Below are 25,216 nucleotides of genomic sequence, written 5' to 3' on the forward strand. Positions count from 1 at the left end.
AACAAAGCATCACAGAAAAGAATGCATTCTTCTGGCTGCTAAGTAAAGGATTGACATGTAATGAAAACTTTAAGAGCATGAAAGGAACTATTTAAATAAAAGTATTTCATTATGATTTAGAGGGCACTATCTTACCTGTATCTAGACCCTGCCGAAGCTCCTTGATTTTATTAGTCGAACCAGACTTTCGATAAATACCTTCTGTATACAGTCCATGCATTTCAATGTAGTTTATGAGCTTTTCCACTACTAAAGGAACAGTTCGGTCTTCACTGGTCAAACGGGACAGTTCAACCCCAAATTGTCGAGATGACAGCTCTGGATCATACTAAATGAAAGATAATTTTTAGTTTCCAAATGCATTCAAACATCTTGAAACATGTTTAACCATTTCTTTACCAGGAGCTACTTTTTTATTTCTCTGAAGTTTTATGAGCATAGTTAGAAGAGTTGGGAGAAAGGGAATTATGTTTAAGTAAGTATAAATGAGATATTAGTTTCAATCCTTTTCCACCAGAATCTCCAAAAGAAAATAATGGAGTGAAGAATGAAGGCAGTGGCAAAGGGCTACAGCTTCTCCTATCAAAAAATTGCTTCAAAAGCAAAGGTGGGATTTGGGTGTGGGGAAAAGGGTTGGATTTTATATGCAAACAGCTTGACCACCTACCAGATACCACTAGAAAATCTACTAATTTGATAAGAATTAGAGTTGTCAGCAAGTTCTTAAGCATAAGAATGCTTTGATGTTTATATAAACTTTACGGAAGTTTAACTGAAAAATGATTTCATAATTAAAGGCAGAGGTACACACAGATCAGCCCATGACTACTGTTACAGCTCTTTTGTATGGACTTGAATAGCGTATCTGATATCACACTTTATTTATTCATGCATTCATTCATTCATTCATTTGAGACAGAGTCTCGCTCTGTCACCCAGGCTGGAGTGCAGTGATGCGATCTCAGCTCACTGCAACCTCCACCTCCCAGGTTCAAGCGATTCTCGTGCCTCAGCCTCCCAAGTAGCTGGGACTACAGGCACATGACACCACGCCCAGCTAATGTTTGTAGTTTTAGTAGAGACGGAGTTTCATCATGTTGGCCAGGCTGGTCTCGAGCTCCTGACCTCAAGTGATCTGCCCGCCTTGGCCTTCCAAAGTGCTGGGATTACAGGCATGAACCACTGTGTCCAGCCAATATTATACTTTATTAACCTATAGGTTACTTTATATCCTATGTGACTGCAACATAACAGCTTACCCTTAAGATTATTTGAAGTAATTCACTGAAAAGAAAAATGGCAGGTATTATCTCTGAGACTGAAAATTGTTTTGCAAATCTGTCTTTCCTTCTCCTGTACCATTGTCCTTCCCTAACTATATATTCCATTTTCTCCTTTAACCTGCATCCAACCAGTTGCCAAGTCAATCAGTTCATCCTCTTTATTGTTTCTTTTCTGTTCTAAGTGTCATCACCCCAGCTCAAAACTATATCACTAACCAATTAGACTATTTCAACACTTTCTTGGCGAGTTTTCCCCATATTCATATGTCTCCTTTTAATATATTCTGTAGTATATATAATCTGTTTTATTATCCTCAAAAACCTTTAGCGGCTAATTAGTATATAGCAAACTAAAGTGCAAACATTCTTGAGTCTCATACTCAAGAACTTACTTGAACTGATTCTAATTTCTACTTTCCAGCCTTACATTCATACATTTGTCATTTATGTGTTAGGTACCAAGGAAACAAAATCAAGGCCTTCTGCTTAAGACTAGTAGTGTTAGGCCCGGCACAGTGGCTCACACCTGTAATCCCAGCATTTTGTGAGGCTGAGGTGGGTGGATCACCTAAGGTCAGGAGTTCAAGACCAGCCTGGCCAACATGGTGAAACCCCATTTCTACTAAAAATACAAAAATTAGCCAGGCATAGTGGTGGGCACCTGTAATCCCAGCTACTCAGGAGGCTGAGGCAGGAGAATCACCTGAACACAGGAGGCAGAGGTTGCAGTGAGCCAAGATCACGCCACTGTACTCCAGCTTGGGCAACAAGGGCAAAACTCTGTCTCAAAAGAAAAAAAAAGAAAAAGACTAGTAGTGTTAGTGTGTGGAGATAAGTAAAATTATAAATAGATTAACTATTATGGAAACACAGAAGAGAGACAACTAGATCAGGAAAGACTGGGCTGGATAACAAACAACTAATGATCTTGAAAAGACCTGATGTTCAACCTTAGTGTTGGAAAGCAAGTAATAGATAAGTAAAGAAAGCAAGATCTTTTAGGCACAGGAAATATAAAACTACAAAGGTAGGCAGAGCAAAGTGGCTACGGAAATGAAGCTACCAGATAATTTTAAATAAAGGAATAATCAGTTTATTAGTTTTAGCAGTATTATCAGTATTATTTTGCATCATTCATGCATGTATCTACATGCTCTGCATTCCAGCTCTTAATCCTTAGAGTATTAATTTCATGTCTATTTTGACATACATTAAATTATCTTAATATCACACAACATCTCTGAAAAGCATTTCCAAGTCTAAGGCAGAATAGGACACAATCTTGGAATATTTAGAGGATGCATATTAAAAGTTTTGCCTTGTCACTATGTGAACTTGGCTAGGTTATTTCACATTTGCAACAGAAATACCTCCTTTCTACTTCAGAGGGTTGTTGTAGAGATTAAGTTGAACATACACAGCATGACAACCTGGTATACGTCAAATACTGAAAAAATTATTATAGAAATAGAATAGAATAAGGCTTGCTGTAATGATTAAATTTTAGTCAAATGTTTTCCTAATGCTGGGACACAGATGTGCAAATACATATTCTGTTTATTTAAATCCCTATGGCATTAGAAATGTTATGACTTGTGGAAGCAAAATAACAAAATACTTTTAGGTATTAAACAAAAACTTTAAAAATAACTTGATTTGAAACTAAGTAATCTAAAGCAAACATGCTAGAACATTCTATTTCTTGAAATGAAGAGACAAATTAATCTTACTATTTTCAATGGAAAAAAAAATTCTGAGTATTTTTCTAAAAATATATTTTTATAGTTTTTGTTTCATAGTTATTTTTCATTTAAACTAACTTCAATGTGTATTTTAAATAAAATCTTTATTGAGCTGTGACATACACACATTGCAAGTTACAGCTTAATGGATTTTCACAAAGACCCAGATTAAGAAACAGAATATTACCAAGCAGTTTAAAATTCCCCCAGGTCCCTTCCAGCCACTATGCCCTTTACCCTTCACAAATAACCAGTATCTGTACTTCTGTCACTAAAAATTAATTTTACCTGCTTTTGGATATTATATAAATGGAAAAACAGAGTATGTGCACCTTGAGTTAGTTTAATCTATTTTTGAACTTTGTTTAAATGTACTCTTTTGTCTCTAGCTTTCAGTCAACATTATGTTTGTATCGACAGTTTTTTTTTTTGCACTTTTTACATTTAGTGAATATTGATAGGTAAAAGTATATAAAGGTACATGGAAAAATAATCTAATTAAACTAAAGAGCTTCTACACAGCAAAAGAAACTACCATCAGAGTGAACAGGCAACCTACAGAATGAGAGAAAATTTTTGCAATCTACTCATCTGACAAAGGGCTAATATCCAGAATCTACAAAGAACTCAAACAAATTTACAAGGAAAAAACAAACAACCCCACCAAAAAGTGGGCAAAGGATATGAACAGACACTTCTCAAAAGAAGACATTTATGCAGCCAACAGACACATGAAAAAATGCTCATCATCACTGGCCATCAGAGAAATGCAAATCAAAACCACAATGAGATACCATCTCATACCAGCTGGAATGGCGATCATTAAAAAGTCAGGAAACAACAGGTGCTGGAGAGGATGTGGAGAAATAGGAACACTTTTACACTGTTGGTGGGACTATAAACTGGTTCAACCATTGTGGAAGACAGTGTGGTGATTCCTCAAGGATCTACAACTAGAAATACCATTTGACCCAGCCATACCATTACTGGGTATATACCCAAAGGATTATGAATCATGCTGCTATAAAGACACATGCACACATATGTTTATTGCGGCACTATTCACAATAGCAAAGACTTGGAACCAACCCAAATGTCCATCAATGATAGACTGGATTAAGAAAATGTGGCACATATACAGCATGGAATACTATGCAGCCATAAAAAAGGATGAGTTCATGTCCTTTGTAGGGACATGGATGAAGCTGGAAACCATCATTCTCAGCAAACTATTGCCAGGACAGAAAACCAAACACCGCATGTTCTCACTCATAGATGGGAATTGAACAATGAGAACACTTGGGTCTATGGCCATACTACCCTGAATGCGCCCGATCTCTTCTGATCTCAGAAGCTAAGCAGGGTCAGGCCTGGTTAGTACTTGGATGGGAGAACACTTGGACACAGGAAGGGGAACATCACACACTGGGGCCTGTCGTGGGGTGGGGGGAGGGGGGAGGGATAGCATTAGGAGATATACCTAATGTAAATGATGAGTTAATGGGTGCAGCACACCAACATGGCACATGTATACATATGTAACAAACCTGCACGTTGTGCACATGTACTCTAGAACTTAAAGTATAATAAAAAAAAAAAAAAGGAAAATTCCCACTAGAAGAAAAACATCTCACAGATGTAGATTCACTACTCTGCATTCTCTTCTCTCTAAAATCTAGTCTCCTAAAGTACAATTTGCCTGTGCAGCTCCCTGATGCTTGCCAACAAACTTTTTTAGTATTTGTCTGACATAAGCTGCTCCATCTTAGCTGGAAGCAAATGTCTCACTCATATTCTTTGCATTTTAATTCCTGAATCAAATTTCTCTCTGTACTTTGCCATGATTTGTCTACTGCAAACAACATGCACACACATTTATATTTCAGATTTGCATGCTATTGTAACAACTGTCAGTATGTGATTAATGAATAAGAAAATGTTGTGATCATACATCGATAAAAGCCTGAATTTTTTAAAAAGATTACCTCCTTGAAACATAAGGTATCAAACAGTATGTGTACAGTATATTTTAGATCTCTGTGTATCCAAGAGATATATGTAAAAACACCAACCATCCATGCTGGTGAATTTTGCTACTCATGTTTAAATTTGTTCATCTTTAATTGTAGCTTACTGCATTAAGGATAATTCCTAGAAGATTTATGAGCATTTAAGGAAGTATGAAACCTCAATGCAGTGTTCTTCAAATTGTGGTTTACGAAATTAATTTAGTAACTCACATATAGTAACGGTAAAATAATTCTATGAAAATCAATTCATTTTTGTACATATATCACCAAACATATGAACTGGATCATGGCATAAAACATATTTCTACTGTGATTTGTGGTCAAAAAGTTTAAAAACCACTCATCTGTAAAACTATCAAAAAGGCCTTAATTTATTTCCATAAGGCACAAAAGACCAACAGGTCTGTTATCTATTACTGATAGGTGATAATTTCTTACCTTTTTAGAGCACTTGGCTGTGGTTTTCAGACAGCACTTCTTATGGCAAGCATACTTGCATACTGAAAAATAGGTGAGGAATGCAACATTTTTAGAAGTCTGTACATCAGTGATAATAACTTATCAAGTATACTTTATTTTAGACCTACGTTTTTTTCTTTAAATCTCAGACTGCTGTAATATGACATACATACTTTGTACAATGGTGTAATTAAAAAGAATTTTAACCCATTCTATTGGGTATAATGAAGTTGAAAACATGATCAAAATTTCTAGCCACAGTCAATGAAAAAGCTTTTTGTTCTTTCAAAGCTGCTCATCCTGCCCCTATGCCATACAGTACCACTCCCCAACAAATTCCAGCAGGATACTTATCTTTGTGGTTTGATTCACAAATTAGTGTTCATGTTCTACCACATATATGCTCTACAACATACTAAAATCTCAGAAATGCCTATTAAGAATCATTCCTATAGATAAGGAAGGCATTACTGTCAAAGATCCCTCCTGAAATGAAAACTAATTGGGTAGCACAGTTTAAGATATAAGAAAGGTCTTATTTATGATCTCTAAAGGTTCAGAACAGAGCTCTGAAGAACCAGAACATGAAGAATATTGAGTTGTGATTGGGAAGATGGGATAAAGAAAATGTTCAGAGCTAAAATAATTTAGAGGAGTGGTGATAACCCAGAGTAGCTGGGCAGCTGGTGAACAGGAAGAGGCACATTTAGAGGAAGGTATTGAGAACACAGCTGGCTTATGTCATTTTGTTACACTAGCTCTGGCTTCTGTGTACCAATACCTGAATATCCTTTCTTGAGCTTGTAAAATATAACTTGTAGGCTTTTGAAGGCCAAGATCAAGTAAGGGAGGCCATGTCATTGTACTGGTGAAATAATCAGGATAACAACAAAGAAAGTTAGCTAATTCTATTAAAAAATCAAATCAGGCCAGGCACAGTGGCTCATGCCTGTAATCCTAGCACACTTTGGGAGGTCGAGGTGAGTGGATCACTTGAGGTCAGGAGTTCAAGACCAGCCTGATCAACATGGTAAAACCCTGTCTCTACTAAATATACAAAAATTAGCCAGGCATGGTGGTGGGCACCTGTAATCCCAGCTACTTGGGAGGCTGAGGCAGGACAAGCACTTAAACCTGGAAGGCGGAGGCTGCAGTGAGCTGAGATTGTGCCAATGCACTCCAGTCTGGGCAACAAAGTTAGACTCCATCTCACCAAAAAAAAAAAAAAAAAAAAAAAAATCAAACCAGCCCAACATAGTCATAAAAAAGAAAATTATTTAAATTTTTAGCTTTAAGTTACAGAAGAAACTAAACCTACAAGAATCATAGTTACACTAAAGGGTCAAATACATTACAAACTACTTCCTATTTTCAGACTCATTATAATTTTTTAGACTACTGATAATAAAACCAAAGCAAAACTGCTGTTGAACCATGGAATAAGTAAATATATAGTAATAGTGGCAATTTTTCTGTGGCAAACTGCTGTCATATTGGTTCCAGTCCTTTCCTAGTATTTGCTTCATTCAATTTTAGCCCACTAGTAAAAGCAAAGCTTCACAGAACTAATAATAGCACCAGAGCAGATGTATAAAATAAGATGAGTGGAGGCTAAAGGTTCACTGTAAGCCAGAACCAAGTTGATCTACAAAGAATCTCTACTCACGTTTTAGGATTTATATATTTAGATATATATTTATATGTAAAATAATATATATATTATATTTATATATATTTTATATATTTATATTTTCTACTGTAATCTGCTAAAAGGATTACAGTAGAAAAAGTACCTTTTTGACTGTAATCTAATTTATTCATTTATCCATCCATCCATCCATCCATCCATCTATAGGTTTATCTAACCAACAAATATTTATTAAAACTTACTATGTGCCATCACCGTTTTAGGCACTGATGATATAAAAAAAAAAAAAAAAAAAAAACAAATAAGTTTCCTGACCTATAGAGCATATATTTTAGAGGTGTAGACTGAAAAACAAGAACACAAATACTTAATGTAATTTTGGGTGGTAATAAGTTCTATAAAGACTATTAAGTCTAAGTGAAAGAACAGAGAATTTCGGAGGCTGGAGGGGCGGGCGCAGTGGCTCACGCCTGTAATCCCAGCACTTTAGGCCAAGGCGGGAGGATCATCTGAGGTCAGGAGTTCAAGACCAGCCTGGCCAACATGGCAAAACCCTGTCTCTACTAAAAACACAAAAATTAGCTGGGCATGGTGGCACATGCCTGTAATCCCAGCTACTCGGGAGGCTGAGGCAGGGAGAATCACTTGAACCTGGGAAGCAGAGGTTGCAGTGAGCTGAGATCACACCACTGCACTCCAGCCTGGGCGATGGAGCAAGACACCATCTCAAAAACAAAAAAAAGAATAGCGAATTTGGGGACAAGGTGGCATTTAAACTGGGGGTAGAAAAGAGAGCTCTCTGAGAAGGTGAGATGTGAGTGTAGGCATGAAGTAATTGAAATATTAAGTCATACTAAAATCTGGGACAAGACCATTTTAGACAGAGTGAATTACATGTACAAGACTCTCAGTGACCAAATAACATCAAAATATCTGGTTTAGAGACAAAGAGTAGGTGAAGAGAGTATAGCAAGAGATGAGGTTAAAAATTTAGGTAGTGTAAATAACTCCTTTATGTTAAAGGAGATATAAGACAACTCAAGGAAACAGAAATGTCAGTGGTTAAAAATATTCCTCAAAGATCTCTCATACTTACATTTGCAAACAGAGGCTCGGTCCATTATCCATATCAAAGAAGAACAGTATTCACAGTATGTAGGGATGCTATATTGGGTGGCTTTAAAGATGTGACCATTGTGTTCTTCCACCTGAATGAAAAAATTTAGCTACTTATATTAAAGCCAACACAGTAAATGCTGCCCTAACGTGGTGGGAAATCCTTCAATCTCTTGTTAAGTCTTCACTAGGCACTAATTCCAGGGGGACAATTAGGATCTTTTGAGAAATAACATAAAATAAAATATATTTTTCCTGCTTTCCAAAAGCTAACAATCTAGATAAACATGACCAAATTATATGAAAAACAGAAAGCAATGCAACAGACATATAATAGCTGTCTTACATGACTCTAATGTTACATTAAAAGCAGCAGTTCTCAAAGTATGTTTTCTTTTTCTTTTTTTGGCTTTTTTTTTTTTTTTTGAGACTTAGTCTTGCTATGTTGCCCAGGCTGGAGTGCAGTGGTGCTATCAGCTCACTGCAGCCTCCGCCTCCTGGGTTCAGGCAATTCTCCTGCTTTTGCCTCCCAAATAGCTGGGATTACAGGCGCCTACCACTACGCCTGGATAATTTTTGTATATATTTTTTTTTACTAGTGACAGTGTTTCACCATGTTGGCCAGGCTGGTCTTGAACTCCTGATCTCAAGTTATCCGCCTGCCTCAGACTCCCAAAGTGCTGGGATTATCAGCGTGAACCACTGCGCCTGGCTAAAATATATATTTTTTTGTAATCTCAGGAAACTTTTACAGTTGAAAATTACTGATGACCTCAGAGAGCTTTTGTTTACATGAGTTATACCTGTTAATATTTACTATGCTAGCAATTAAAGCTGAAAAAAATTTAAAGTATATATTCATTAATTTATTTAAAATGAACAATAAATGTATTATACATGAACATAACATTTTAATTAAAAACAACTATATCTTTAAAGCAAAAAAAAATAGTGGCAAAAGGGGTATTGTTTTACATTTTTGTAAATTTCTTTAATGTCTGGATTAACAAAAGACACCTGGATTCTCACATCTACTACTGCACTCAATCTGTTGCAATATGCAGTTTAGTTTGAAATATATAAAGAAAATCTAGCTTAATACAGATATGAAAGTGGAAAATGAAGGAATATAATTTTTTAATTAAAATTTTTTTATTTGTATAAATGTATGTGGTACAAGTGTAATTTTGTTACATGCATAGGTTTCATAGTGGTGAAGTCAGGGCTTTTAGGGTATCGACCACTCAAATAACGTGTATTGTACCCATTAAGTAATCTCTCATCATCCATCCCCCTCACACCCCCTCACTCTTCCGAGTCAGTGGAGTAATATTTTAACAGTCCTTTCAGATAGTAATACGGCACCAAAACTTTACATATGGTAACTTAAAAGTTAAGTAAAATACCATAACCAATGAACCCTTCCTGTCCTATGACAGTAAAATCTATTGTTTTGGACTTAATTAAAACTTAAAACTTTAACCTTCAAAGACACCATTAAGAAAAAAAGATAAACCACAGACTCGGAGAAAACATTTGCAAATCATATATCTGATAAATGACTTCTAGTCATTATATTAGAATGTTATGTAATTATGTTAGAAATGTTAGAACCCAATAATAAGGCAACCCAACTCAAAAATGGGCAAAATACTGAAGAGACAGCTCATCAAAGAAGCCGTTCAAATGGTCAATGGGCACATGAAAAGATGTTCAACATCATTAGTTATCAAAGAAATGCAAACTAAAACCACAATGAAATACTACTTCATACCTACCAGAATGGCTATAACAAAAAAGGTAAACAATAGCAAATGTTGGTAAGAATGTGGATAGACTAGAACCCTCAGGTACTGCAGGTGGGATTGTAAAGTGGTGCAGTCACTTGGAAAACAGCATGGCAGTTTCTGAAAACTGGAAGCATAGAGTTGCCACTTGACCCAGAAATTCCACTCTCAGGTTTATACACAAGATAACTGAAAATGTACGTCCAAGAAAAAACCTGTACGTAACTGTTCATAGTGGCATTATTCATGGTAGCCAAAAATACAAAACAACTCAAATGTCTGCCAACTGATAAAAGGATAAATAAAACGTGACATATCCATGCAATGGAATTCTATTTAGCATTAAAGAAGACTGAACTATGGATAAACACAATGATATAGATGAACTTCAAAAACATTATGCTAAAAAGCCACATGCAAAAACCACAGTGTATTATTCTATTTACATGAAATATCCAGAAAAGGTAAGACTATAGAAACAGAAAGTAGAGTAATAGTGCCTGAGGCTAGTAAAGAGCAGTGACTGTAAACTGGCATGAAAAATCCTTTTGGGATTTTTCTAAAATTGGATTGAGATGATGGGAAAACTATGTGAATTTACTGAAATCACTGAATTGTACACATAAAAAGGGATAAATTTGTGGTAAGTAAATTTACCTCCAGAAAGCTGGTTTACAATACCAATTGGTCTATTTTGTATTTGGACATTTAACCTGTATATGATTTTACAGTGGTACATGTTGATCATTTGGAATATACTGATTCACTAAATTAAACTTCCAAATGTTGACACATTTCATTATACACTAGCAGAAAGTCATAGTCCTTAACTTTATAACTGACCTCATTAGAAAACTTGGCAGATACAAGTTTTCCAAAATTTGAATTTTTGCTTGAATACACAAGTTTTACTGGTAATAAATATTGTCAGTTGTTTTCCTTGAAGTGACAGGATAACTGCATATGCCAAAATCTTAATGAATAGTTTAAGTAAAAATAATGTTCTGTGAAAAAAGTGGCTAGAAACATGCTGCCACAAAAACTTGTTCATGAATTTTCATAGCAGCATTATTCAAACAAAAAGTAGAAACAACTGAAATGTCCTTCAATTAATAAACAGATATATGAAATGTTATATATCCATACAACAGAATATTTGGCTTTACAAAGGAATGATGTACTGACACATGCTACAACACGAATGAACCTTGAAAACATTATGCTAAGTGAGAGAAGGCAGACACAAAAGGCCATATATATGATTATTTAAGTCAATATGAAAATTTCAGAATAGGCAAATCCATACAGACAAAGTAGACTGGTGGTTGTGAGGGGCTCAGAGGAAGAGAGAAGAGGGATTGAGTGAGTGCTCAGAAAGTACAGTTTCTTTTTGGGATAATGTTCTCAAATTATATAGTGGTAATGATTGCTTAACATAGTGAATATACTAAAACCCACTAAATTGCACACTTTACGTAGTTAAAATGGCTAAATAGTTAAATTTTGTTATATGAATTTTATCTCAGTTTTAAAAAATGCTAGATCAGCCTGCAATCTAATTGTACAAGTAATTTCTTGAGACAACCATCATATCATGGTTTTGCATCTTTCCCATTTCATTACACAGAATATTAAAGAGATGTGAATTCAAGAATCAAAACTTAATATAATTAACGTTTTTATTATTTCACCTTCTTCAGTAAAGCTTCTCTATTTTTCTTAAACTATGAGTGTGTGACTGTAAAAATTATAATGCCCATTAACAAAGTTTGCAGGCACTGCCTTGATTCACGTTGATGGCAGTTTTACCCATGTTTGCTTTTGTGTCAACTCAATGAAAAAGGAAAATGATGTTTTATTATTACAAAAAGAGTTGTAATATCATAAAACCCCTAAAAGTCTACCAGAAACCCCTGTAGACCACACTTTGAAACGCTGGATCATATATAAACTAGACTCGAGTTTATACAGACTATGTATGTTTATAAATGATCTAGTACAAAAGGATATATGTTATACTGTTAACTATAGTGATTATCCGTGCTGAGATAAAACACTCAATAGTAAGTGTAACATGACTGGGCATGGTGGTGTGTGCCTGTAGTCTGAGCTACTAGGGAGGGTAAGGTGGGAGGATCACTTGAGCTCAGGAGTTTGAGGTTGGTCTGGGCAACAGACCCCATCTCTTAAATAAATAAATGTATGTATGTAACACGAAGTTTTTTTTTTTTAAACCTGTATATGAAACACTTTAAAACCCTCTTGAAGGACACAAAAATAGACTTAATCAGAAGAAAAGATTCAAAATAATAAAGATGTCAGTTCTCTCTACATTAATTTATAAATATAAGGTAATAGAAATAGAAGTACTAATAGATCTTTTTTCTGCTCAAACTAGACAATCAAATAGTTGGAATGGCTCACGACTATTTAGATCAACTAATGAAACAAGATAAAAAAGATCAAAGCAGGCCAGGCGCAGTGGCTCACGCCTGTAATCCCAGAACTTTGGGACGCCGAGGCGGGTGGATCACAAAGTCAGGAGTTTGAGATCAGCCTGACCAACATGGTGAAACCCCATCTCTACTAAAAATACAAAAATTAGCCAGGCGTGGTGGCGCACACCTGTGGTCCCAGCTACTCAGGAGGCTGAGGCAGGAGAATAACTTGAACTCGGGAGGTGGAAGCTGTGGTGAGCCGAGATTGCACTACTGCACTCCAGCCTTGGCAACAGAGTGAGACTCTGTATCAAAAAAAACAAAAAACAAAACACACACACACACACACACACACACAAAACAAGCATAATGGGAAATTTAGAATGTAAAAAGGGTGACATCTCAAAGTTGATGAGTAAAGACGGACTTTAAAATAAATGATGTTGGTAGCCATTGATAAGAGGCAAAATTAGATTCATATCCCACACTGCACACCAGGACAATTCCATAAAGATCGCAATTTAAATGTAAAAAATGTGACCACTAAATTATTGGAAGAAAACACTGAGAATTCCTTTATAACCCTGAAGTGAGGAAAGTCTTAACTATGACTCAAAATTCAGAAGCTATGAAAAAAGAAGATTCACAAGTTTAATTTCTTAAAAATCTTCCACATGACAAAAAATATAATAAGCCAAGTGAAAAGACAACTGACAAACCAGGAAAACATACTTTCAACTTATATCACAGACAAAGGGTAATCTCTCTAATGTACAGAGTTGCTACAAATTGAGAAGGAAAAGACCAAAGCCAAAAGAAAAATGAGTAACGAACAAAAACAGACTGCAGTTAAAAAAAAAAAAAAGCAAATGGTACTTGAGTATAAGAAAAGATACTCAATCTCACTGACAGTATGAGAAAAGCAAATAAAAACTGTGTAGAGATACAAACTACAAAATGAGACTACCTTTATTACAGAGAAATGAAGCAATATTTATCAAAATAACAAATGCATTCACCCTATGACCCACTAATTTCAATTCTGGGAATCCATCACACACACACACACACACACACACACACACACACACACACACACACACACGGTTATTCATTGTTCACTCTTTGTAATAGCAGAAGACTAGAAGCAGCCTAATAGTCCGGTAAGGAATGGTAGCCAGTTGTGAAATAGATTTCTGTGTATAGCTACTGTATTAGTTTTCTATTGCTGCTGCCACAAATTACCATAAATTCAGTGGCTTAAAACAACACCTATCATTTGTTATCTCACAGTTCAGTAAGCTAGAAGTCTGACGCTTCTCAGAGTCAGAGACTTTTAGTCTCACCAGGCTAAAATCAGATATTGACAAGGGCGTGTGCCCTTCTGGATGCTCTGTGGAACAATCTGCTTCCAATCTCATTCAGGTTGTTGGCAGAATTCAGTTCCATGTGGTTGTTGGACTGAGGTCCTATTTCCTTGCTGACTATTAGCTGGTAGTTGTTCTCAGCCTCTAGAGGCCGGTCACATTCCCTTGCTCAACACCCTCCTTTCTCCATCTTCAGAGACATCAAAAGAGGATTGAGTCCTTCTCATGCTTGTATTTCTCTGTCTTCTACTACCTATGTCTCCTGCATCATCTTCTACCTCATCTCTCTTACTGACTCTTCTGTCTTCCTCTTCAGCTTTTAAGGGCCTATGTGGTTACACTGGGCTCATCTGCATAATCCAAAATAAACTGTTATGTTAAAGTGAGTTGATTAGCCATCTTAATTCCATCTGTGAAGTCCCTTCACAGCAGTACCCAGATTATGTGTGAATGAATAACCAGGTGACAAGAACCTTGGAGGGAACATCTTTAGAATTCTGCCTACCATAGACAGAGAAGGGTCTTCTGAATATATTGTTCAATGATAAAAGCAAAGCACAAAAGAGTACTAGCTGTTATTATATAACATGCTACATTTTATGTGAGAAAGGATAGCAAATAAGTTTATACTGGAGAAAGAAACACTAGAAAGTTATAACAAAAATTTACCACTAGAAGACAAAGGGGGTTGGAGTTAGACTTCTCAGTATATATATTTTAAAAAAAAGTTTGAATGGTAAAAATATATCTATTAGAAAAAACACTGTAAAAATAAATTATATCAGTGCAGGCTAAGGAATTCTTCTTTTATTCAATAGTTCTACTCTCATTTAGTTTGATGCTCTAATTATCACAAATTTGTCCAGTGGCACTTCCTTTGAGCTAAATAAATAAAAAGGGAATGCTTGTCTTTAGAGCAAAAATTCAACTAATAAATGTAGAATGACTGATGGAATTTTTAAAAAATCACTATTTAGCAACCATCACAGCAATTGATTCAGTCAAGAATCATCAAGTAATAACAAAACTAGTAAGAGTTTGAGGAATAAGAGGACACTTATTTACATGGTCTGAAGTATATCCCCACAAGATAATAATTACAAGGGAAAATAGTATCTTTGCTGAGTTTTTTGAAACAACCTTGCAGATATCAACCACAATAGGACAAATAGATATCATATATCTCCTGATACCACACAATGAAAAATCACAGCATTTCTTCTGTGATGTTTCATGCCAAAAATGTGTAATCTGAATCTAATCATGAGGAAATATAAGACAAACTCAAATGGAAAAACATGCTCTAAAAAAACTGACCTATGTTCTTCAACAATGCCAATGTCACGGAAACTAAGAAGGCTAAGGAACTGTTCTTGATTAAAAGAGATTTAAAAGGCATAACAATTAAGTGTAACAAATATCTTGTTAAAAAGGAACAATAGTGGGATGAATGGTGGAATCTAAATAAATCTGGGTTAAGGGATACGGTTTATTTGTACTTCTCTTGCAACTTTTCTATAACACTGCAATTATATTATGTCAAACAAAAAGAAGGGGAGAGGAGGGAATGGAAGGAAGGCAAAACCAAAATGAAACAAAAAGAACTGATCCAGGACAGTGAGACAATTACAGCTGCTAGAACAAGTTGGTAGAGAGTAATGAAAAATAAGGCTGGACAGTAGTGTAGCAGGGACCATGAAAGTCTTTCAAGTCACTCAACATTTACTCATTCAATTAAACATTTATAGATGCTTACTATGTGTCAGGAACTGGCATGAACTTGTTGTGGAAAAGAATGCTAACTGCCTACTAATATCCATTCTTTGTTTCTTCCTTAAATACAGATTTCCCAAGCCCTATCTGGGCATGTGACAATCTATCTAAACTTTACTTCTCAGCTTCTCTTGCATCTATAAATGGCTGCATAAGTAGCTCTGAATAATGAAATGTGAACATATGTGATGAGTGACACTTCCAAGCCATGCCTAACATTATGGGCTCTCTTGTCCTTTTTTCTGTCCTGCAAGCTAAGATGGGAATCAAGAAATTGAGACCTGAAGCAGTGATTTTGAAAGTCTGTATTACTTTCATGGTAAAAGTGGTTAAAAAAAAAAAAAGTGGTAAAAGTTCCAAAGTATAGTGGAAGCACAAAGAAAGGAGTAATTAAATGGTTCCATAGGAAAAAAGGTGTCACAGAGGGAATGCTTGAGATGAATACAAAGAACTGAGCAAAGACAAAAAAAAGAATGATATATTTAGGGAATAGTAATTGTTTCTATTTAAGCTGGAAAATATGCAACAATAGCCTTTAAGACTTTTTAGAGTCATGTGTATATAGGGGTATACATGTACATATATATTTGATAAAATAAAAAGTAATTTAAGAGATTTGGTACTGATACAAGAATAAACACATCAATGAATAAAAAGAGAGACTAAAAATTTAAATCCAAATACATTAAGATTTGAGTATACTGTTGTCTCTCAGTAGCTGTGGGGAATTAGTTCCAGCAACCCCCTGCAGATACAAAAATGCAGATGCTGAAGTCCCTTATATAAAATGGCACAGTATTTGCATATTATTTAGACATATCTGCATATCCTTCCATATACTTTATATCTAGATTACTTACAATGCCTAATACAATGCCTATACATCACTTCATTTGTGTGGATTCACTCAATGGACAGCAAATTCAAGTTTGTTTTTTGGAACTTTGTGGAATTTCTTTTTCTAAATATTTTGGATTCATAGTTGGTTGAACCCATGGATGTGCTGGGCCAACTGTACTATAAAAATGGTATTTCAAACCAGTGAAAAAGAAATATATCATTCAACAGTGGGCAGACAACTGATACACTATTAAAGAAAAAAAGCATCATCCCTTGGTGCCTTGGTCCATAACTCGATCTTGAGACTAAAATAAATTCAAGAATGATTAAATATTTTTGTAGGAAAAAATGAAATAATAAACATACTAGGCCAGGTGTGGTGGCTCATGCCTGTAATCCCAGCACTCTGGGAGGCTGAGGCAGGAGAATCATGAGCCCAGGAGTTTGAGACCAGACTGGGCAACATGCTAAGACCCCATCTCTACAAAAAATGAAAAAATATTTAGCTAGGCATGATAGGTGTGCGTGTGGTCCCAGCCACTCAGGAGGCTAAGATGAGAGGACTGCTCGAGCCCAAGAGGTCAAGGCCGCAGTGAGATGTCATTACGCCACTGCACTTCAGGCTGGGCAACAGAGCGAGACCTAGTCTCAAAAAAAGAAAGAAAGAAAATGTACTGGAAAAAAGGTATGAATGGACAGGTATGGTGGCTCACACCACCCAGTACTTTGGGAGGTTGAGGTAGGTGAATTGCTTGAGCCCAGGAGTTTGAGACCAGCCTGGGCCCCATGGTGAAACCCCATCTCTACAAAAAATACAAAAAAGTTGGCTAGGCATGGTGGTGCACTACTTGGGATGCTGAGGTGGGAGGGCACTTGAGCCTGGCGAGGTTGTGAGGCTGCAGTGAGCCGTGATCATGCCACTGCACTCCAGCTTAGGTAACAGAGTGAGACCCTGTCTCAAAAAGAAAAAAAAAAAAGAAAGAAAGAAGAAAGTAAAAAAAAATGATAATAATTATGTAAATAATTTATCTAAGAAGGACAAAAAACTCCAGTAGCATAAAGAATTTAAAGGAATTAAAATTAGTAGTAAATAAATCTACTATAAACAAAGTAACAACATAATTCCACTCAGAATATCCTGAAAACAGAGGAGGAATGTATGTGTAATACATATGTGTATAAAATATATATAATCATTTATATATAAATGATTTTATACGGACACTGTATTTCTGGAATAACACCAAAAAACTGGTAACAGTATCTCTGGGAAGAAGGGCTGGGAAAGAGGTCTACTTTATAATGTATATAATTTCAAATTATGTTTATGTGACTTTCTCAACTGAAAAAACTTAGTTCAAAATTTATGATGATAAAACAGAACTAGACCAAGAATGCCATTAATCCTGATTGACACCATTGCCTGTATCAAACCATAATGGCACAAAAAGATTGGCAGTCATTTTTTTTCTTAAGAAATTAAGTAAATAATCAACTAACTTAAAAAAAATCAAGGGAGGAAGGAAAAAAAATACTTCAACTCATGGTTCATCCATCCTAGTTTCATAATATGGCCTTGCTCTATGGTATCTCAAATATTCCCAGATAATAACATCTTCTCTCACAGATATCCTTCTAATTATAAATCACACAAACGTTATTTTCCTCTACTAAACTCTAATATTAAAGTTGTTTTCATTAAAATTTTCATTAAAAATTACTTTATTCTGTAGGTAGAAGAGAGGACTTGCTATGTTCCCAACACACAGAAATGATACTCAAGGTGATACATTCCCCAAATACCCTGACTTGATCATTACGCATTTTATTCATGTAACGAATACTCACATGTACCCCCAAAATATGTAAAATATATATCAATTTAAAAATTACTTTATTCTGAATGGATATAATATAAACCCCTGATCAAAAGGTACACAAAGCAAAATAAGTCTTTTTCCTGTCTCTGTACCCCAGCTGTCTAGTTCCTCTTTATAGAAATAATCACTGCTATCAGTATACTCCCAGATATTTTATATGTGTGTATATGTCTGTGTGTGAGTACAGATATTAAAATTTTTAAAAACATATGCAAATAGTAGCTTTCTATACAGTGTTTATAGCCCTTGTACTTTTTTTCTTTTTTTGCACAAATAGTAGCTTTCTGTACAGTGTTTAGCCCTTGTACTTTTTTTTTTCTTTTTTTGAGACAGAGTCTCGCTCTGTCGCCCAGGCTGGAGTGCAGTGGCGCGATCTCGGCTCACTGCAATCTCCACCTCCCAGGTTCAAGCGATTCTCCTGCCTCAGCCTCCCGAGCAGCTGGGATTACAGGCGCCCATCACCACACCTGGCTAATTTTTTTTTGTATTTTTAGTAGAGATGGGGTTTCGCCATGTTGGCCAGGCTGGTCTCGAACTCCCGACCTCAGGTGATCCACACCTGCCTCAGCCTCCCAAAGTGCTGGGATTACAAGTGTGAACCACCGCGCCTGGCCAGCCCTTGTACTTTTTACTTAACAAAACATCTTGGTGAATGTCCCCTTTTCCTTTAATGTTATGCTACATCCTATTATATAGATGTATCTAATTTATTTAATCATTTCCCAATCTATTTAGGTTGTTTTCAGTCTTTTGCCATTACAAACTCTTCTTCAATAAAGAACCTCGTGCATGTCAGCATGTTACTGTGAAAAAGTGTGATTGATATGCCTACTAAACAAATTCTTAGGTATGTTATTGCTGGGTCAGTTTTTTTTTTCCTTTAACGTTTTTAAGGTTTTTAATACATCATTGCTAAAGTACATTCTCCAAGAAGATTATGCAAATTACACTCCTATTTGTATTATTGAAAAATCTGTCTTATGTTTCCAAACTCTAGGTAACTAATTTATTTTCAGCTTTGTTCAATGATGGAAAAAGTAGAAAATCACTGTTACTTCACTTTAATTTGACTGCTAATAAACATTTATTTGTGTATTTCTAGACATTTCTATGAATTGCACTTATTACAGTTCCTGAATTATAATAAAATAGTTGTTGAATAAATGTATTCATATGCTTGTACATTTTTATTTTGAAGTGTTGTTCTTTCCCTTATTGATATGAATAACTAATCTTTTAAGGCTTAAAGTATATAAAGTGCCTAAACATATCTGTTAGTAAGAGGTTCTCTGTCTTCCCTATCCTTTCCTTTGTATACAATCTCATTTATTTTCACAAAAATCTCAGTGGTGGGTGGCATTATTCCTGCTTTACAGATGAGGACATTGAGACTCAGAGCTTAAGTTGTCCAGTGTTTCTCAATGAGAAAATCCTCTTGGAAAACCAAAGCAAACCAGGCTAAGGAGTTAGGTATACTACTTTCAAAATTCTGTACTTGTGAAAAGGCAGAAACTTCGCAATAGGCAAATAATCTATAAAACAGTCAGATCGCACTTCTAACACAGATAGTGGAAAAGCTGCAAGTAAGGATGTAAAAAGATTTGGGAATTTTGTTTACAAGCAAGAGGGGATGATTTATAATCCTGAATATTAGTAAGGTAGATGATAAATATTCTACAATTAGAATTTGCAATTTTTGGCAGGGTTGAATCCAGGTTTTGTAGGCCCTAAAGTTTAAAGTTTCCAGAAGAAAGTAAAGACGATAGGAGGAGGAGGGGAAGTGGGAAGTGATGGCAGCAAATGTAGCTTAAACAGAAGGAACCAGGGGGAGAGTAGGAGGAAATGAAGCTTAGAGAGGCAGTCACGCTCAAGATCATGTCAAGCCTTGTAGGCATGGTAAGAACTTTGGGTTTCATTCTGACAAACACTGGAAATCACTAAACAGTTCTGAGTAGAGAAAGGATATGATTTGATTTTTATGTTTAAAAAGTAACTATGGCTATTACATAGAGAACTATAACGGGAGAAGAGTATAAGAAGGTAGACCAGTATGAGACTCATAGTTCATCGGACTGCTGTTGATAGCAGTGGAGGTGATGTGAAATGGTAAGGTATTCAAAATATTTTGAAGGTAGAGTCTTGATCAGACTCCTCCCAAACGCCTTCATATGAACATGCAACACTTAAGCCAATCAAAGCAACTGGCTCAACATAGCAGCTTCTTCATTCACACACATTTGTACATACTGTTTTTCCCAATGGCTAGATATTGACTGTCTAAACCACTACTCACTTGTCAAGAATTAGCAAAAGTATTTTTCTCTTCTGTAAACTATTCCTTCATTTCCCCTTTCTGTATCCAACAGCACTTTGTATTATTCCTACTATAATATTTATCATACCTGACAGTAATAATTTGAAAACTTTTTACTGCCTCCACTTGTAGATTATGCACACCTTAAGGGCTTAATTCATCCTTGTAATTGCACAAATTATCATAAACCACATAATATATATGTGATATATATTTTGTATCTATGTTTCTATCTATTGTATTATATATATGATAGATATTATAAATGATGTTGTGTATATGATGTATATATGATAACATCATATATTGGATATATATCATATAGATGTGTCTAATTTATTTAATCATTTCCCTATATATTTAGGTTGTTTGCAGTCTTTTGCTTTTACAAAGTCCTCTTCAATAAAGAACCTCATACATGTCAGCATGTCAGCGTGAAAAAGTGTGATTGTATATATTGTGTGATTGTATATAAACATGAACAATGATAAAATTTGTTCAAATGCCTTCAGAAATGTCTTTTGAATTGAAAGTATTTATAATTGTAAAATCCTAAATAACCCCTGTTTTCTTTAGAAGGGAGAGAAAACTCCTGAAGAGCTCCTTCCCCACCCCTAGTTCTGAAAAGAAATAATATTTTTTCTTTCATGAGTAAACAATTTCAGTTTTCTGCCATTTTAGGAAGCTATCATTGATAACAAGTCCAGTCACATCTAATCATTCTAAATTTTTGTAAAGATATAAATATGATTATTGCCTAGGTACCTGATAAACTTATTTCATAAATATATCCACATATATATTGTATGATATACCTCAGACAACTGATCTGAAAATTACTTTTTTAATTTAAAAAACAGATTATAACTTACCAAATCAGTTTCCTTTTTCCTTCTTTTCTTTCTTTCTGTTTTTGGCACCTGACAGGGGGACAGGAGATATATGGAAATTGTGATAACAAAGACTAACATACTTTCTTACTTCATTGCAAATGTTAAGATACTTGCTCAACAGGTAACACAATAGTCATTTCTTTATTCTCCAAGAGGAACTGTGCAGTGCTAATAAGCAAATGTGAGAAAAAATTTAAAATCTGATAAAACATAATTGCCAATGACAGCAACAGAATGGAAGGATACTTTAGAGATTATTCTTTTTTAAACCTCAGTTCTGCCCAGAAGCCACCGCCATATTAATTTAAATGATTGTTTTATTTTAATCATTAATTGATTTTTTTTTTTTTTTGAGACGGAGTCTTGCTCTGTCGCCCAGGTTGGAGTGCAATTGGTGCAGTCTAGGCTCACTGCAACCTCTGCTTCCCAGGTTCAAGTGAATTCTCCTGCCTCGGCCTCCTGAGTAGCTGGTATTATAGGCACACACCACCACATCTGGCTATTTTTGTATTTTTTGAGACCGGCTGGTCTCAAACCCCTGACTTCATGATCCACCCGCCTCGGCCTCCCAAAGTGCTGGGATTGCGGGCTTGAGCCACCACGCCTGGCTGGTATTTTTTTTTTTTTTTTTTTTTTTTTTTTGAGACGGAGTTTTGCTCTGTTGCCCAGGCTGGAGGGCAGTGGTGCAATCTTGGCTCACCACAACCTCCACCTCCCAGGTTCAAGCAATTCTCCTGTCTCAGCCTCCCAAGTAGCTGGGACTACAGGCGTGTGCCAGCACACCTGGCTAATTTTTGTATATTTAGTAGAGACGGGGTTTCACTATGTTGGCCAGTCTGGTCTCGATCTCCCGACCTTGTGATCTGCTCACCTCAGCCTCCCAAAGTGCTGGGATTACAGGCATGAGCCACTGTGCCAAGCTGATTGTTTTAAAGATTTTACTTCCCGTATTTTAGCTGTAGAAAACTACCATGGAGCTAAATATAAAATATATACAAAAAGGCAACATTTGGGACACGGAAAAACTCTTTTCCATATGACATTTCCTGATAACCATAGTACAGAACAATCTAAACCCAACCTTTTAAACTTAAAAACAAACGTAGTAGAAGCCTACTAAGAATCTTCTTCAGCATAAAGACCTTAACCTAGATCTAGAACTGAAGAACTGTCCAGAACTTATTTATATCTGAAAACTTCAAAAATGGGATTGAAGAGGTTTTGGAAATTTAAATACATATAAGGTAGAATAACTAAAAATAAAATGGAACATAATCAATACAAAATATTGATGGTATTCTTGATATGAATAGGTATCTAATTATTTCATCTGGGGTACTGAAAAGAAACACATTGATAACTTTGTCTAAGCCTGATGTCTCTTCTGTAATATGGATTTTATAAAAATTATTTAATAAGGCTGAAGCAAGAATTAAATAAAATACACAACACCGAGTACGATTCTCAGGCCGTAACAGGCACTCAAAATAAAAAGGTTATTATTATTATACAGACTTCCCAAAACACGTATTTTCCTAAAACCTAATTCAAGAATAAATATAATTTGTAGGTTTTTATAAAGAGGCCACTGGGTAATACAATGAATCACATCTTTAACTATAATTTTTCAAAAGGAAATTCAGATACTTATCTCTTTTTTTTTTAAGACGGAGTCGCACTTTGCCACCCAGGGTGAAGTGCAGTGGCGTGACCTTGGCTAACTACAACCTCTGCCTCCTGGGTTCAAGTGATTCTCCTGCTTCAGCCTCCTGAGTAGCTGAAATTACAGGCGCCTGCCATCATGCCCAGCTAATTTTTGTATATTTAGTAGAGATAGGTTTTTGACATGTTGACCAGGCTGGTCTCGAACTCCTGATTTCAAGTTCTCTGCCAATCTAGGCCTCCCAAAGTGCTGGGATTACAGGCATGAGCCACCGCCCCACCCCGATCTCTATTAAAGCTAAGAGTATAATCTTGAGGGCAGAACATTATGTTTTAACTCAGTGAACAAAGTATTGATTACAGACGGTTTAGAAAATATGGTCTGATAAATTATAAGACAGAATGAAGTTTGGAGGATCTAAAGTGGCGCTAAGTTGACATGTTCCCTGTAATGTTTTTCTCAAAATAAAATTTTTCTCAAATTTCTCAAATACAAGATGTCCCAAACGCTCTTAAAAAGAATTCATAATTAAATCCTTTAAGTAATCAAAATATATCACATTTACCTTTGTGGCTGTGCAATCTGAAGTCTTGAATTCATTCATATATTCATCTAAAAACACTTTAAAAGTGTTGACCCAAACTCTCACTGGAGATTCACCCAGTGAATCACGCTGCTCAAGCCTCATCGTCTTTTCCAGAATCTGTTCAAATAGTGCATAGAGGTCTTTATACCGTATGCTTTTCCCATCATCCATCTATAAGCAATAAGAAAAGAAATGTATGGTTTTATAAAGAAACTCCTTAAATATAGAGGAAAGATTACACTTGTAATGGGGTAGTATTTAGAATAAAGATTAGGATCCTGATATAATTTCTAATGAGCATGCCCATGAGGTCATGTGGTATTTGTAAACTCCCATTCTAGTATGGGATGAATGCAGAATCAAACATGCTAAATTTTAGTAAAAAACCTGACGGTAATAATTTGAGGAAGTCTTGAGAATTTCTCTTCTAAGTGTGACTTTTTAATTTTATGTAGCTATAAAGGTTATTTGCATCCCTCTTAATTACTTTCCTCCCCAGAAATGAACCTTGTTTAGATGGTTCTACTCTAAAATTGAAAGAATGAATACTTGAATCATTGCCTAAGCATATATTAAGTAACCAATTTATTTTTCCAAAGAAGAGTGACATGCCCAGAATAACATCATATTATTTGCAAGGAACTGAAATAGAATTTCTTTTATTTAAATGAGATCTGGAATTTTTTTTTTTTTTTTTTTTTTTTTAGACGGAGTCTTGCTCTGTCACCCAGGCTGGAGTGCAGTGGCATGATCTCGGCTCACTGCAACCTCCACCTCAAGCTATTGAATGGGTTCAAGCCATTCTCCTGCCTCAGCCTCCCCAGTAGCTGGGATTACAAGCATGCACCACCATACCTAGCTAATTTTTGTATTTTTATTAGAGACGGGGTTTTACCATATTGCCCAGGCTGGTCTTGAACTCCTGACCTCATGACCTACCCGCCTCAGCCACCCAAAGTGCTGGGATTACAGGCTTGAGCCACTGCGCCCAGCCAAGTAGAGTATAAATTAAAAAGCTTTCCAGATTTTTCTCTTCACAGTGAATTAAAGAATATATTGAACAATGAAAAGCCAATAAAATATGAATTCTTTTACAGAATATGATAATTCATAAACACTAATGCTTCTATAGACCAAAGCATTAATTGCACACACCAAAAATAAATTTTCTAAAACATGACCAGTATCATGTGAAAGTATAAGGTAAATCTCAAAGTGATATAAACTGATATGTAGAAATCAGTGTCCATAAACTAACTGCCCTAATTCCATTAAAAGAAAACATATAATGCATTCCTCACAAAGGAAAATTAGACATTATAGCCTAGCAATAGAGCTAAAAGGATTATGAAAAGTCACAGGCAAAAACAGAATCATACCCAGGACATCTGAAGTCA

At 35.6% G+C, this 25,216-nt stretch overlaps 1 protein-coding gene and 1 pseudogene across 50 annotated transcripts in view; one reads left to right on the forward strand and one right to left on the reverse strand.

Annotated features, from left to right (window-relative positions):
* Positions 1-25,216, reverse strand: part of MYO9A (myosin IXA) — a 296,310-nt gene that overhangs the window by 31,951 nt on the left and 239,143 nt on the right. For all 50 annotated transcript variants that reach the window (XM_047432576.1, XM_047432553.1, XM_047432585.1 and 47 more), the window contains 5 exons: positions 23,799-23,990; positions 21,550-21,597; positions 8,259-8,370; positions 5,494-5,555; positions 136-328 (listed from right to left, as the gene is read on the reverse strand). In XM_047432576.1, the coding sequence (XP_047288532.1) occupies positions 136-328; positions 5,494-5,555; positions 8,259-8,370; positions 21,550-21,597; positions 23,799-23,990 (607 nt within the window). The remainder of the gene's footprint in view (positions 1-135; positions 329-5,493; positions 5,556-8,258; positions 8,371-21,549; positions 21,598-23,798; positions 23,991-25,216) is intronic.
* On the forward strand, positions 4,329-4,445 carry RNA5SP399 (RNA, 5S ribosomal pseudogene 399; annotated as a pseudogene).

The sequence above is a fragment of the Homo sapiens genome, chromosome 15 (assembly GCF_000001405.40).
Source record: "Homo sapiens chromosome 15, GRCh38.p14 Primary Assembly".
NCBI classification, from domain to species: domain Eukaryota; kingdom Metazoa; phylum Chordata; class Mammalia; order Primates; family Hominidae; genus Homo; species Homo sapiens.